General features: G+C 40.3%; 1 protein-coding gene across 4 annotated transcripts in view, besides 7 other annotated features; it reads right to left on the bottom strand.

Annotated features, from left to right (window-relative positions):
- Positions 1-13,097, bottom strand: part of HMGA2 (high mobility group AT-hook 2) — a 141,832-nt gene that overhangs the window by 64,785 nt on the left and 63,950 nt on the right. The window lies entirely within an intron of this gene.
- Positions 3,132-3,898: an enhancer, noted in NCBI's record as "OCT4-NANOG-H3K27ac hESC enhancer chr12:66291389-66292155 (GRCh37/hg19 assembly coordinates)". NCBI's record gives its function as "activates a minimal SCP1, AML or CMV promoter by ChIP-STARR-seq in primed H9 embryonic stem cells {active_cell/tissue: H9 hESC(primed)}" and the evidence as "EXISTENCE:reporter gene assay evidence [ECO:0000049][PMID:30033119]".
- Positions 3,899-4,666: an enhancer, noted in NCBI's record as "OCT4-NANOG-H3K27ac hESC enhancer chr12:66290621-66291388 (GRCh37/hg19 assembly coordinates)". NCBI's record gives its function as "activates a minimal SCP1, AML or CMV promoter by ChIP-STARR-seq in primed H9 embryonic stem cells {active_cell/tissue: H9 hESC(primed)}" and the evidence as "EXISTENCE:reporter gene assay evidence [ECO:0000049][PMID:30033119]".
- Positions 3,899-5,434: a biological region, named in NCBI's record as "hESC enhancers GRCh37_chr12:66289853-66290620 and GRCh37_chr12:66290621-66291388".
- Positions 4,424-4,718: a silencer, noted in NCBI's record as "tiled region #8167; K562 Repressive non-DNase unmatched - State 22:ReprW". NCBI's record gives its function as "represses a minimal TATA promoter and a strong SV40 promoter by Sharpr-MPRA in K562 cells {active_cell/tissue: K562}" and the evidence as "EXISTENCE:reporter gene assay evidence [ECO:0000049][PMID:27701403]".
- Positions 4,667-5,434: an enhancer, noted in NCBI's record as "NANOG-H3K27ac hESC enhancer chr12:66289853-66290620 (GRCh37/hg19 assembly coordinates)". NCBI's record gives its function as "activates a minimal SCP1, AML or CMV promoter by ChIP-STARR-seq in naive and primed H9 embryonic stem cells {active_cell/tissue: H9 hESC(naive and primed)}" and the evidence as "EXISTENCE:reporter gene assay evidence [ECO:0000049][PMID:30033119]".
- Positions 9,119-10,031: an enhancer, noted in NCBI's record as "NANOG-H3K4me1 hESC enhancer chr12:66285256-66286168 (GRCh37/hg19 assembly coordinates)". NCBI's record gives its function as "activates a minimal SCP1, AML or CMV promoter by ChIP-STARR-seq in naive H9 embryonic stem cells {active_cell/tissue: H9 hESC(naive)}" and the evidence as "EXISTENCE:reporter gene assay evidence [ECO:0000049][PMID:30033119]".
- Positions 9,184-9,478: an enhancer, noted in NCBI's record as "tiled region #11590; HepG2 Activating DNase matched - State 14:Gen5', and K562 Activating non-DNase unmatched - State 21:Repr". NCBI's record gives its function as "activates a minimal TATA promoter and a strong SV40 promoter by Sharpr-MPRA in HepG2 and K562 cells {active_cell/tissue: HepG2 | K562}" and the evidence as "EXISTENCE:reporter gene assay evidence [ECO:0000049][PMID:27701403]".

The raw sequence follows: 13,097 nt of genomic DNA, 5'->3' as shown, positions 1-13,097 counted from the left end.
ACAACAAATAAACGCTTGGTGACTATTCATTTCAGCAAAGAAACAGCTCATGTCATTAACAAATAAGTGCAGTTTCAACATGAACATTGGTTGATATTTTTCTTTATATCAATAAGTAAAACCAAAGTGAAACAGTGAAGTCAAAGGTTTACTCATTCATCAATAATGTGAGTGACTTCTTTGTTAAACCGGATGATAGTTTTTGAATATCCAAAGAATATTTCCTTAAATGTTTTATGCTATTTATAATGTAAAGGCTGCCGAAATTATTGTTTAACCTGCATTATTAAAATGTTCTCAATAATTTTTTAAAGTCTAGTTAATAATCAAAACAACCTGTCAAGTCCTGCTTGTAGCATTTGCCAATTTCTGTGGTGTAAATGCTCCTACCATGGTCAATTTCAGCTGCCAACGTGTCATCACTAAACACAGAGCTGGAAAGAAATGGGAGGTGGCATACCACACATAATATGTGGAGTATTTCTCCACATAGATACAACAAACATAAATAACATCAAGAGCATAAATAATAGTAAAGTCCAGAAGAATAACTTGGAAATGATGAGCTTTACACATTGCCTGTTTTTAAACATAATTTATTTAATTATACATTTATATATGTTAATTTTTAGTAAGGGCTATGTTTAACAACCAGCTCTCAAACTTTCTAAAAATGTAACAGTTGGCTCCAACGTGCCTCCAGCACACCACAAAATCTCCCTTCAAAACAATGGCCTGTTTGGGTATATTTAGCTTTATTAACCGAATTGAGTGAGTGTTCAGTAATTACCAGCGCTTGTACTACAAAAATTGGGCTCATTTTGTTCCTAGTGGTCTTTTAGAGAACAAGAAAAAATAAAATTGTCCCTGTGGTCTCCATACCCCGCTCTATGCATTCACTGCAGTCCACAGTGCTGGTCAGTCTCCTTTGATATACTTGGTCCTTGGCTAGAGGCTGCTGTGAGCTTGCTGTGGCTACTAAGAGGAAAACTTAATGACACTTGTCTGGTTTCTACCTGAACCAGGTTCAAGATTTAGGTCTGGTTAAGTTCTGCTCTCTGGCATTCAGCTATGCTGTGACCTAGGAACAGATTCTACCTTGCTTGAAAACACCCTGAAAAGGAGTCCAGGGGAGAAGTAAAACTAAAAACAAGCTCCTTGGAATAGTAGCGTGCCATTTAGTCATGTAAGATCTAGTATTTTCTTAACAAAATCTTCATGTACAAATTTAGAGTGCATTAAGGCCCTCCTAGAGAATGCAGAGAGGCTGATAATTAGTGGCCTTTCTCTCTAATAGAGATGTAGCTATGACTGAAATAATCCAAGGAGACCTCAATTCGAACAAATCGTTTTCACTGACTACAGAGTAAACATGACCTAATTTGCTTACAGCAGTTAGAAGAGTAATGTAAATTACATATACAAGATAATCTAAAATAATGAAGTCGTTATAAGTATTAAAATATTACCCTATCCGTAAAGATTTTAAAAGTACAAAATATTCAGATGATTGAGACGAAAGGTTTCCCTCCTCTTTTGATTTTATTATTTGCTTAAATTCCCTGCATAGTTGCCTTAGTGTCTAACTTGAATAGTAGAAAAACCCCAAGTGTCAGGAAACTACTCAGGTAGCAAAAGTGCCAGCAGGTAAAATGTGATCCAGTAGTTTGGAACTAAAAATATCAGCTTTCCTAAGATGCAGTGGGATATCTATAAATTAAAATGAAAACTATCCAGAGATAAAAGAGCTTCAATTATCTTCATAAAAATAACACAACCTGGGAAATAATCACTTTCTTCCTCAGAATATAAGATCCTGAAGGGTGCAGACCATGATAAAATGTCTAGAATGCAGAGCACAGTCTAGAGTGAGTTAGGCTTTTCCTTAACCAGCATTCGGAAAGCTGGTCAGAACGTTTCCAGTTCCTTTCCCAGGCCAAAATTCCTCTCATCCAGAGATAAACTTGATTCAAACCCTCATCCCCCTCTACTCCAGCCTTCTGCAATTCAGAAAACATCCTGCAATTATCATATCACAAGGCAGATTTTTCCAAAGTGCGTGTGTCCTGTGACAGATAATAAGGAAGAGAGCCAGTGAAGTAATGGAGTGAATACTGAATCAGGGAGAAGTAGGATCGGAAGTCATTATGGGAGAAAAAAGTTAAATGTAGGTACTATAGAGAATAAATAAACATTGGAAAGGACTTGCTCCCAAATGTGTCATAAACTACAAGCTATGAAATATAAGGATATTTGGAAACATTTGGATATTCAACTAAACTTTTAAGTTTTCATCTGTTCGGAAGCACGAGTTATAAACTGACCAGAAGGCAAAATAGGATGAACACAGTCAGTGCCACTTGCTAGGCATCGTTGGAAATTGACTCCATTGTCTTTTAACACCAGAACCTCCCTAAGCCCCAGTTTCCTCATCTTTTTTTTTTTTTTTTTTTTTTTTTTTTTGAGACGGAGTCTCGCTCTGTTGCCCAGGCTGGAGTGCCGTGGCACGATCTCCGCTTACTGCAAGCTCAGCCTCCCGGGTTCATGCCATTCTCCTGCCTCAGCCTCTCGAGTAGCTGGGATTACAGGCGCCCGCCACCACGCCCGGCTAATTTTTTGTATTTTTAGTAGAGACGGAGTTTCACTGTGTTATCCAGGATGGTCTCGATCTCCTGACCTTGTGACCTGCCTGCCTCGGCCTCCCAAAGTGCTGGGATTAAAGGCGTGAGCCACTGCGCCCGGCCTCCTCATCTTTAAAATGGGAATAATCGTAACATGATTTGGCAGGGAGGCTAGGAGGATTAAGGATAATGTGAATCATGCGCTGGACATAGTAGGTGCTCATTGTATAGTGGCTACCACCAGGATTATAGTACATACAAAGGATATTTAAGCCCTTAAGGGCTGTTGAATATGTACTATAACCATATGTTTGAAACATGTGAATATCAGATAACACCGATATTTTAAAATGCATGATGTTTTCTTCACTGGGAAAAAAAAAGATGCCTCGTTAGCACCTTTCCAGGACTGGGTAATGGGGCCCTGTGGGAAACACTAGCCACTGCAGATTTCCTTGAGGCTGGGAAGCTCCACCTTTCAAGTTGCAAAAGTCTCTGAAAGATCTGAACCCTGAGTTTATGATTTACAATATGTTATACTGAACAGATGATAACAAAAAGCATTAATCAAAAAGCAAAACCTGAAAAAAAAAATGAATAAAGTGCTGCTCTACCGAAGGTAATGACTTTCTCTCCTCAAACTTTTTCCCATCCGACTTACAGCACCTGGATATTTTAAAATGTATTGAGGTAGGGATTTGGGGGCTGTTAAACAGCATCACGACACCTTGGCTAGACAGAAGCCTGGTGTCCTGTTTGTTATTTAGTTGGAGGCTGAAACTCATATTAAAATACATACACTTAGCCAGGAAGTCAAGGCAAAATTAAAATGAAGAATTAGCATCAGTGGCTGGTGGAAACACGAGGGCACTGTGCTATCCCTTCCGATGGATGAATCATTTAACTTTTTTTTTTTTTTTTGAGATGGAGTTTTGCTCTTGTCATCCAGGCTGGAGTGCAATGGCGCGATCTCAGCTCACCGCAACCTCCACATCCCGGGTTCAAGTGATTTCTCCTGCCTCAGCCTCTCAAGTAGCTGGGATTACAACAGGGGCGTGCCACCATGCCCAGTCAATTTTTGTAATTTTAGTAGAGACAGGGTTTTACCACGTTGGCCAGGGTGGTCTCAAACACCTGACCTCAGGTGATCTGCCTGCCTTGGCCTCCCACAGTGCTGGGATTACAGGCGTGAGCCACCACGCCCGGCCTTTCTTCTTGCTTTAGGACAAATAATAAGCATTGCTTTTCACCCATCCTCCCTTAACCTAACATTCCTTTTGACTTTTAAATCGCTGCTCTGCATGCTTGCTCACTCTGTGCTCTCCCTGACCACTCCTTTTTGTCCTTTTGCCTAAGCCCCAGTATTCAGATGGAACATAAGAAAATGCATGGCAAGTAAGTAGAATTACCTCTATCAGGATGCCTAATGTACTATTTATTTCCAAATTACATCAGAGATTTCCATTTAAAATAAGAAACTTTTTCCTTAATTTTCTCAGAAACTTAAAAATAATGCCGTTAATATGATCACAAGTTCTCTAGTTTGTACTGTCAGTTTCTTTTCATCAAAAAAACAGTGTTATGCCACAGGGTGACTATGGTCAATAATAATTTAAGTGTACATTAAAAAATAACTAAGAGTGTAACTGAATTGTTTGCAACACAAAGGATAAATGCTTGAGGTGATGAATACCTCATTTACCCTGATGTGATTATTAAGCATTGTATGCCCGCATCAAAATCTCTCACATACACCACAAATATGCACACCTACATACCCACAAAAATAAAAACTTTAAAAAAATAGTGTTCATCACCTAAAATAATTCTAATTTCACTTCTTCACTATTGCAGGAATCAGGTTTCAACTAACCATTTTTGCATTCTTTTGAGAAGCAAATAGGATACAACAACAGTGACGAGTTACCCCATTCAGTCTGGCATTGATAACACAGCCAGGGATATACCACCACAGCAGCCACATGAAGTTGAATTCTTGTGTTAAGTATTTATTCCCCCAGACTCATTCATCTCAACTACCAGATACTTTCAGTAATTAAATGCCAGCATGTAAGAAAGATCTCAAAATCAGATTCTTCATGCAGTATTCTTCCAACGTTTAATCAATTAAGAAAACACAGACCTCCCCGCAGGCTGTGAAGCTACTGTAGATCAGATCAGTATATAGAATCATCTTATGTTCAACAAAGGCCTTGCCATTGGCCATTGACTTACGAGTAGCAGCAAAGGTCAGAAGATCTGCTTCTAGAAATGGCCATGCTGCACACGCACACAAATGTGCGTTCATAAAAAGAACAGGGAGAAGAGGAGGAAGAAGGAAAAAGCAGAGAGAGAGAAAGAGAAAGAGAGAGAAAGCACCACACTCCCCCTACAACAGCAGCTTTGTGATCCCTCTGGTAATGTTACCCAGTTTTGTTTATCATGAAAAGATCCCATTAATGCCTCAGCCCCATCAAACAGCAGACCAAGTCCATGAATGGCACCTATCAGAGCCCAGGGCAAATCCAATGATTAGAGGGAATTCGCCAAAGGGCCTTTGTAGCTGAGAAAAATGCCTACTCCAGAGAGGAATGCAGAAAATTCCTGGGAGCACAAGCCCTTCTTTGTTGGCAGTTGGGCGGTATTCTGGAGCAAATAAAGGGACAAAAATGGGATCTCAGATGCAATGAACATTTGAAGAAAATGGTTTTCAAAGACCTCCTTGAAACATTCCTTTTCAAAAACCCCAAAACCATTAGTCTGATAAGGATGAACTACAGAACTTCTACTCAAACCACCATTTTATAGTATTGCATAACCTTGGAGATTCTCAACAGGAATATAGTTTTATTTAGATCTCCTTTGTCCTGCTGAGTTTCCTGGTTAAACAGTAAGCCAAAGTTAAAACTTTACAGATAAGAAAACACACACATGCAAACGCACTCCTCACTCACTCTCCTCAACTTTACTGACAGAATAAACTGAGATTTAGCATAACACAGAAGCATCAGGCAAGGAAATAGGAAAGCATATAATACTGAATCGAGTGTACTAGCTGTCCTCAGAGCGGAACAAAGCATAAAGAATATGCTGAGCTATCACCATTATCCAAATATGCATACAACCAACCAGAAAGAAGTCTGCTAGGCAGACTATGTAGGACAAAGAAGGTAAGTTAAGGCATAGTAGACATCAGTAAGCTTTGCTTTCATCTACTTCTGTGCACAAGGAGGTATTTGTTTGCTGAAACCCCCTAACTAACATATGGCAAATATAACATGCCTATATTGTTTTTATTATACAAGAGCCGGGGTCTACCAGAGCATGCAAAAGGAATGCCAGGTCTACTATACTTCTTTAAGTATGTTTCCTAGAGAAACAAAATCTTTCAGTTTTGTCTGGTAGGAAAAAGTTGCCACAATAGAGAATGAATCAGAACCTTTAGGTACAAAGGCTTTTAAAAACCTAAAGCCTCAGGTAATCATAAGGAAGGCATTTTGATACATCTGAGTTTCTCATTTTTCTCAAAAGGTTTTTTTTTTCCCCTTCTTAAGGCCCAAACAATTTTAATGACTTTTCTGCACAATGTGCCCCTAAGTGTAATACCTTTCCTCATAAATCTTGTTATAGACTTGCTTTATGTTCCATTTTAATGTTTGCTGGGTTGAGGGAGGAGCAAAGCAATAATCATGTAATTCTAGTTGAAGGTTTTCCTCCCCTTTCTCCTAGGCTGAAATCTAATAAAATATTATTTACTTGCATCTTTGGAGAGCTATTCACTAACATTTTTCAAAACTGTAGTAAAGTGATTGCAAAGGTGGTTTCTTTATTGCTTTGCAAATGTTGTTCATTTTACAATTTGTTTTAAATGCTGTTTTACTGGTACCGGTGGATTTACATTATAAAGCTGTATTAGGGTGCTATTTGGGATATACACAACAAATGCAAACCTTTGGACCGTGCTTCTCCACACTCACTTCTTATTTGCCCATGTAATCATATAAAACACTTCTCCCAGACTTCCCTTCCAAATAATTGAGCATACATAATTGTGGGGTTATTGCATCACTGTTTATGGCCAACTTTGCCCTTTCTAAGAGTTACTCCAATAAGTCTCTACCTTGGGGTGTACTTCCATAAAGTTTATACATCTGTGCACCAAAAGGGAGAGGTCAGCTTTACTTTTGCACCATTAAAGGTAGTTTTGCAAACACTAATGAATGCAATACTTTCTCAAATACAAGATGGCTTGAAAAGCAATTGCCATACTTTCCTGATGCATTTTGCAAATTTCCACCTATGTCTGGACTGAAAAAGCTTTATTATTAGAGTTCTTATGAATAAAATGCTTAGATTTGACCATGTAAAAATGATCCATTTGAAAGAAATGTCCAGAGCAGAAATAAATTTAAGCGCAAAACAAAATAAATGCTCTCAATGACCCTGATTCAGGATTCCCTATAAATGGAGTGTACATCTCCACCACTATAGAGTTCTCTGAAATCTTGCCAGATGCATAAATCCTTGAAACATCTTCTAAAAGATAAGAATGAGCTTGGAAAATAGATCATCAAAGAAATATGCAGTGCCTATAAAATAAACCACACACATACACACACAATTTTCATTTACCAGATCCTCTTCCACAAATCTAGCAGATGGTAGAGTTTTAAAACTAAGTTTTTCAAACTGCAATCTGATTTTCTATTTAAAATAGAATCCTTAACACGTTAGAAAAAAATGCAGTGAATATCATACAAACACCAGAGGCATACAACCAGGCTCACGATAAGTTGGCCAACGGAAGAAATGTATAAAATTTAATCAGAACTGTGCATTCAAAACCATTATAATACCAATTGTTAGCTAGACAAGTTTTTACTCCCCTCTATGTATCATTTCTTTATAGTACTAAAGTCTACAAAAAAAGTGAATTAAAAAATATCATCACAAGCACTCTTCTTCAGCCAGTGACATTTTCAAGTGCTCTGAGCCATACCAAACACAAGAAGAAACAGCTACCCCATGAAGGCTATACTCTAAATACAGTGGGAAAGTCAAATATCAGTTTTGCCTTTTCTCCTCTTAGAGGATTCAAACTATCCTAACATCCTTCCCTTTCCATCCTTATCTCCCAAAATTACACCAATTAAACTTTGCAACTTCATTGCTTAACTCTTGGAATAAAGCTCATTTTGACCTCTTTACCAGTAGCCATTCACCCCCTGAAATGCAGGACAGCTCTAAACCTCGAAGGCTGCAGTCAAACACAAGAGGGTTCTCACCAGCCGCTACCTCTGAAACCCTACAATGTTTGCAAAGGATGAAAAATCTCTAACAAGGAGGTGGTTTCAAAAACCAGTCCTGTTCTGCATCCATTTGCAAATACTAATAGAGAGGTGGATTCAAATGCTACCTTAAAAAATTTCCACATTTGAAACTTGTACCCTCAGGAAGAAAAAGAAAACCACTTTGAAGAAACAAAAATTATAACAAATGAGGTGGTTTGTTCTTTTCGCATGTATCCATTTGGCCTTGTTGAATTCTGGAGTACCCTGTCATGGCATATCTTGTCATGAAACTAAATGCCTTAGGTTTTAGCTGTGACCACACTGGGGTGAGGAGACAGTAGATGTTGCTATGAACAAAATGGGTCTTGCTGCAGCCCTTAAAGGTCCTCCTGTACTAACAGCAATTCGAGAGTTGAGCTGTAATTTCACCCTCCTTCATGCAGGACCTTGTCTCCCCTTCCACAGGAAATGGGGGCTGAGTCAGTGGGGCATGACTATAATAGGAGCCTGTGACCGGGGTGCAGTGTAGCCATCAGTATAAATCTGTCATAGACACACTCGCAGAGGAAGAGGGACTTCCATACACTGCCGTCTTTACACTTTTTGATGCAGATACAGATTTATGACACACGGGAAGCAGAGAGTCTTTGAGCCAGAGGGGCCCTGTGAATCAAGGCCATTTTGTAGGTTTCCGCCGCTTGAAAGAGCTACACATTTATAATTGTGCTTGAAGTCAGCCCCCTTCCAGCCCCAGGAGGCAGCATCATTTGGTTGAAATAAAACTGAGGACTTTTCTCAACAGCTGGCCAGCTCTAGTTTTAAGTTTTAACAACAGGATGAATGGATTGAGGACGGCTGAAGGCATCAAAAAGTGCTATGCCAGACTTTTAGGGACCGTTTTCCTGACGACCCCATTCCCATGGATCAGATTCTCTCGGAGATGACAAACTCTACTTTGAAGGGTCCCCTCGCTTTGGTCACCCAACACAGATGACTCTTTCACCAGGATACTTAAAAGCGATCCAACTGAGACCTTACAAAAATGTCTAACAAGTTTCAGGCAAAAAAAGAAAAGACAAAAAAGAGTCAGCTAGGAGTAAATGAAAAACCTGTCCAGAGTTGGTGTTAATTAATTAAAAACACAATTTCAAAGCATCCCTAATAGAAGACTTCCTCCGTGCAGCCAGTATCTGATTCAGGGAGTGACTCAAGCAATAAAATCACAGTTGGGACGACTCTCGTGGTGCTGGCAGGCCAAGTTCAATATTTTCCCTGTGAGGCATGCCTGTACTATAAAAAGAATGTGATGTTTGAAAATGAGTGTCTCTGCTCTGTGTGCTGGCATTAAAAGTCTCTCCTAGCCCTCCTGCCACATTTTGAGAGTACAGTATGAATCACAATCATGTGACGAGCACCTCCTTGCCAAATTCTTTCATGCTGCTACCACGGTATGTTCCCTCTTAGGTTTTTGCCAGCAGCCTCTGTCCTCCAGCCAAGACCATCAGAGTGAGTGTCGGCGCAGAGGCAGAGCACTCCGGTCCAGATTCACCAGCGAGAAGACAAGGCAGCGCATTATTGTACAAACTGTAATCTCTGAATTGACTAAGTGAGCAGGAAGGGACAAAAGTCAGCTGAGAGATGCAGCAAACAGGCTGCCAAGAGAGGATGAAACACACAGAAAAAGGGACTGACCTTTGGAGGGTAGCCTCCGTTGTGCTGGGCACGGGACTGGGCTCTTTAAACTCATGCTCTTATTTAATACTCCTGAGAAATGATCATTAATACTATGAGTGAGGAAACTGAGACCCACAGTTATTAGATAAGTCACTTGCTGCAGCCACGCAGCACAGGGCAGCAGAGTTGGGGCTGGAACCCAAGCTAGTGTCCTGTCTCTTCTCTCTCTATTCTACTGCTTCTGATTCTGCAGCTCAAACTTGGAGAAGCCAGGAAAACTGCTCTTCTCCCATCTTGGGCATTTTATTATTTACGCGACTCTTAACCAGCACTGTGCATCATGTCACTTTCAACAATGCATGTTGATGAAACATTTGTCAGCCAGATTAACAGCCGTAGGACCAATCTTCCACAGCCATGACCACAGAACGCACCCCCAAGCCTAACTGTCTTCCCTAAATGCTGCTCCAGTGTCACAATGGGAACTGGGAGAGTGTGTGGAGGAAAATATTATTGTAGTTCAACATCATGAATCACTACTGATGGAACCACTCAAAGTTTATCCCCTACTTACATCTGCATTTCCTTTGTGTTCATTTATTGCTGTGGTTAACTACAGATTTTGAGTCTCCTGTAAGCCTAGCACTGTCTGGCCCCTAAGAAACAGAAATGGATCATGAAATCAGAAAGCTCCCTGGAGTTATAATGCTTATTTATCCCAGTCTTCCTAAATGGTCTGGTAGGTACAAGGGTTTGGAATCAAAACAGGGTCAGAGCGGCTGAGTTTCTATACTTTACATTAAAAAGTCAACTGGTTCCAATGGATGAAAGAGGAGGTAAAGGAAGAAATGGAAGGCTCAATTCACATATACGAATATATTGAAGAAGTCGGCTGGGCGCTATGGCTCATGCCTATAATCCCAGCACTTTGGGAGGCCGAGGCAGGCAGATCACTTGAGGTCAGGAGTTCGAGATCAGCCTGGCCAACATGGTGACACAGTGAAACCCCGTCTCTACAAAAAATGCAAAAAAAGCCGGGCACGGTGATGCACACCAGGGATCCCAGCTACTCAGGAGGCTGAGGCAGGAGAATCGCTTGTACTGGGAGGCAGAGGTTGCAGTGAGCCAAGATCGCGCCCCTGCACTTCAGCCTGGGTGACAGAGTGAGACTCCATCTCAAAAAAAAAAAAAAAGAATATACTGAAGAAGCGGTAAAATAGTCCTCTCAATCTCAGCTTAATCCAAGAAGGACTTCCCTTTCATGGAGTTCAGGTCTATCTGAAAGCTGAGTACGTGTGCATGGGGGTTGTGAGGGAGAACAATGCTGATTTTCATGGTATATGTAGCTTGCTTGAGTCAATTGTGTAGTATAGCTTCCAAAACAACAAAACAAAAGATATATACCTTAGGCAACGTTATAGAAATATATTAAATAGTATTCAGGATAATGCTAGATGATGATCTTGCTCTTCTTTGCATTGATCAAATCACAAGAATATATTAATGAATAAGTAAGCATGATTTTGAAAAAACTAAAAGCTAACACCTATTAATTTATTCAGTCCATCATTCATCCAACAAGCATAAATTGTTGAGGAATATGCCTCAGGTGCTGTGCTAAGGGCTGGACGTGCAAAGAGACATAAAACATGGTCTCTGTACTATTGAGTTGAGTATATGAGGATAACACAATGTTTTAAATAGTGGCCTATTTAAATGACTATACTTAAATAGTGGGCTGAACTTGGTAACCACTAACTTTGTGGCATAATGATTTTCAGGACTTGGGCAACTCTCATTTTGCTGAGTGTTTTGCTGATAAAATTAGCCCAGAGGAATTTGTAAGGTTCTTTGCTTTTTTTCTACTCTGTGAGTTGACGATGTTGTTGTTGTATAGGACCATTTTGTAGCAATTATAGAAGAAATACAAGTGGGTAAGAATTAGGAGGAAGATGGCTGGACTGTCTTTAGGGAATAAGACAGAAGAATTTTTCAGAGTGATTTCCATGTGAGTGGGGCTAGGATGTAGGGAGAAATAGGAAGCAAAACAGTACAATTCTGAAGCCAGTCTGCCCTGCCTGGCTCTTTCATTCATCAGCTATTGAGTCCTACAGCAGATGCCTTTACCTCATTGTGCCTTGGTTTGTTCATCAGTGAAATGAGGATGATAACAGAGTCTACCGCACTGAGTTGCTGTGAGAAAGAAAGAAGATAATCCTCGCAACAGCCCTGATACGTACTTTCCCATGACATAAACCACTTTCAAACAGGTTTGTCAGCAACTCCTCACCTACATACCTCTTTAAAGTCAAAGCCCAATTCACTCACCATTCTGCAAAGCTGGAATATTCTATCCTATTCCTTGTTGGCCTTTTGTGTACTGTGTTTTCAATGAGCATTCTTGGAATGGAAACTCTCTAGAATATTCACTTTTTAAAAATCTGTGGGTATATATACATATACACGTATATTTACCTATTAGATATGTATTTACAATATATTTACTACAAAGGGTCCTCTGTGCACATCTACATCTAAGCATTCCTGATTCAGTGCTAAGGTCACTTTGTTGGAAAAGACAAGGAACAAATAGCAAATAACACTGGCAGCTCGTGGTATGCTGAAGTTTGATTTGTAGGAAAAAGTCCCTTTTTCTTTTCTGGGACTTGAGGAGAACAAACAGTGATCCTGTATTAATTCCAAAAATGAGTCTTACCAAAAGCCAAATGAAAGAAATCTTAAATGTCTAGTTGAACATTGGACAAGGGTCATAAAGTTCAGGAGATTAAAATGGGCACAACTAATATTTCTTTTAAGAAACATTTAAGACTTTGGGTATTTTTTGTGGGTAAGAGTAGGGTGATGATGAAATTCAACAGTATAATAAAACAAGATATCAAGCATATATCCTTCCTCCTAGTGTGGACACAGAAGGCAGCTGATTATTGGTGGAAAGAGCAGGCTCGAAGTTAGACGGGCTGAGCATGGTGCATCTCTAACGGGAGGGTGGTCCCTGGGTCCCTATGTCATCATTGTCATAAGAGTTAGCACACCACGGGGCCGGGCGCCGTGGCTCACACCTGTAATCCCAGCACTTTGGAAGGCCGAGGCGGGCGGATCACGAGGTCAGGAGGTCGAGACCATCCTGGCTAACACGGTGAAACCCCGTCTCTACTAAAAATACAAAAAGTTAGCCGGGCGTGGTGGCGGGCGCCTGTAGTCCCAGCTACTCAGGAGGCTGAGGCAGGAGAATGGCATGAACCCGGGAGGCGGAGCTTGCAGTGAGCAGAGATCGCGCCACTGCACTCCAGCCTGGGCGACAGAGTGAGACTCTGTCTCAAAAAAAAAAAAAAAAAAAAAAAAAAAGAGCACACCACGGGCACTCTATTCCTATTGGATGAATGAGTCTATGAGTCAAAGGTAGTTTTATTCTAAGGTTTCTTTTCTTTTCTTTCTTTTTTTGGGGGGGACTGAGTCTCACTCTGCCGCCCAGGCTGGAGTGCAGTGGCGC

This window comes from Homo sapiens, chromosome 12, assembly GCF_000001405.40.
Source record: "Homo sapiens chromosome 12, GRCh38.p14 Primary Assembly".
Classification (NCBI taxonomy): Eukaryota; Metazoa; Chordata; class Mammalia; order Primates; family Hominidae; genus Homo; species Homo sapiens.
The sequence above is the reverse complement of the archived record's forward strand: the minus strand, read 5'-3'. Positions and strand labels throughout refer to the sequence as shown.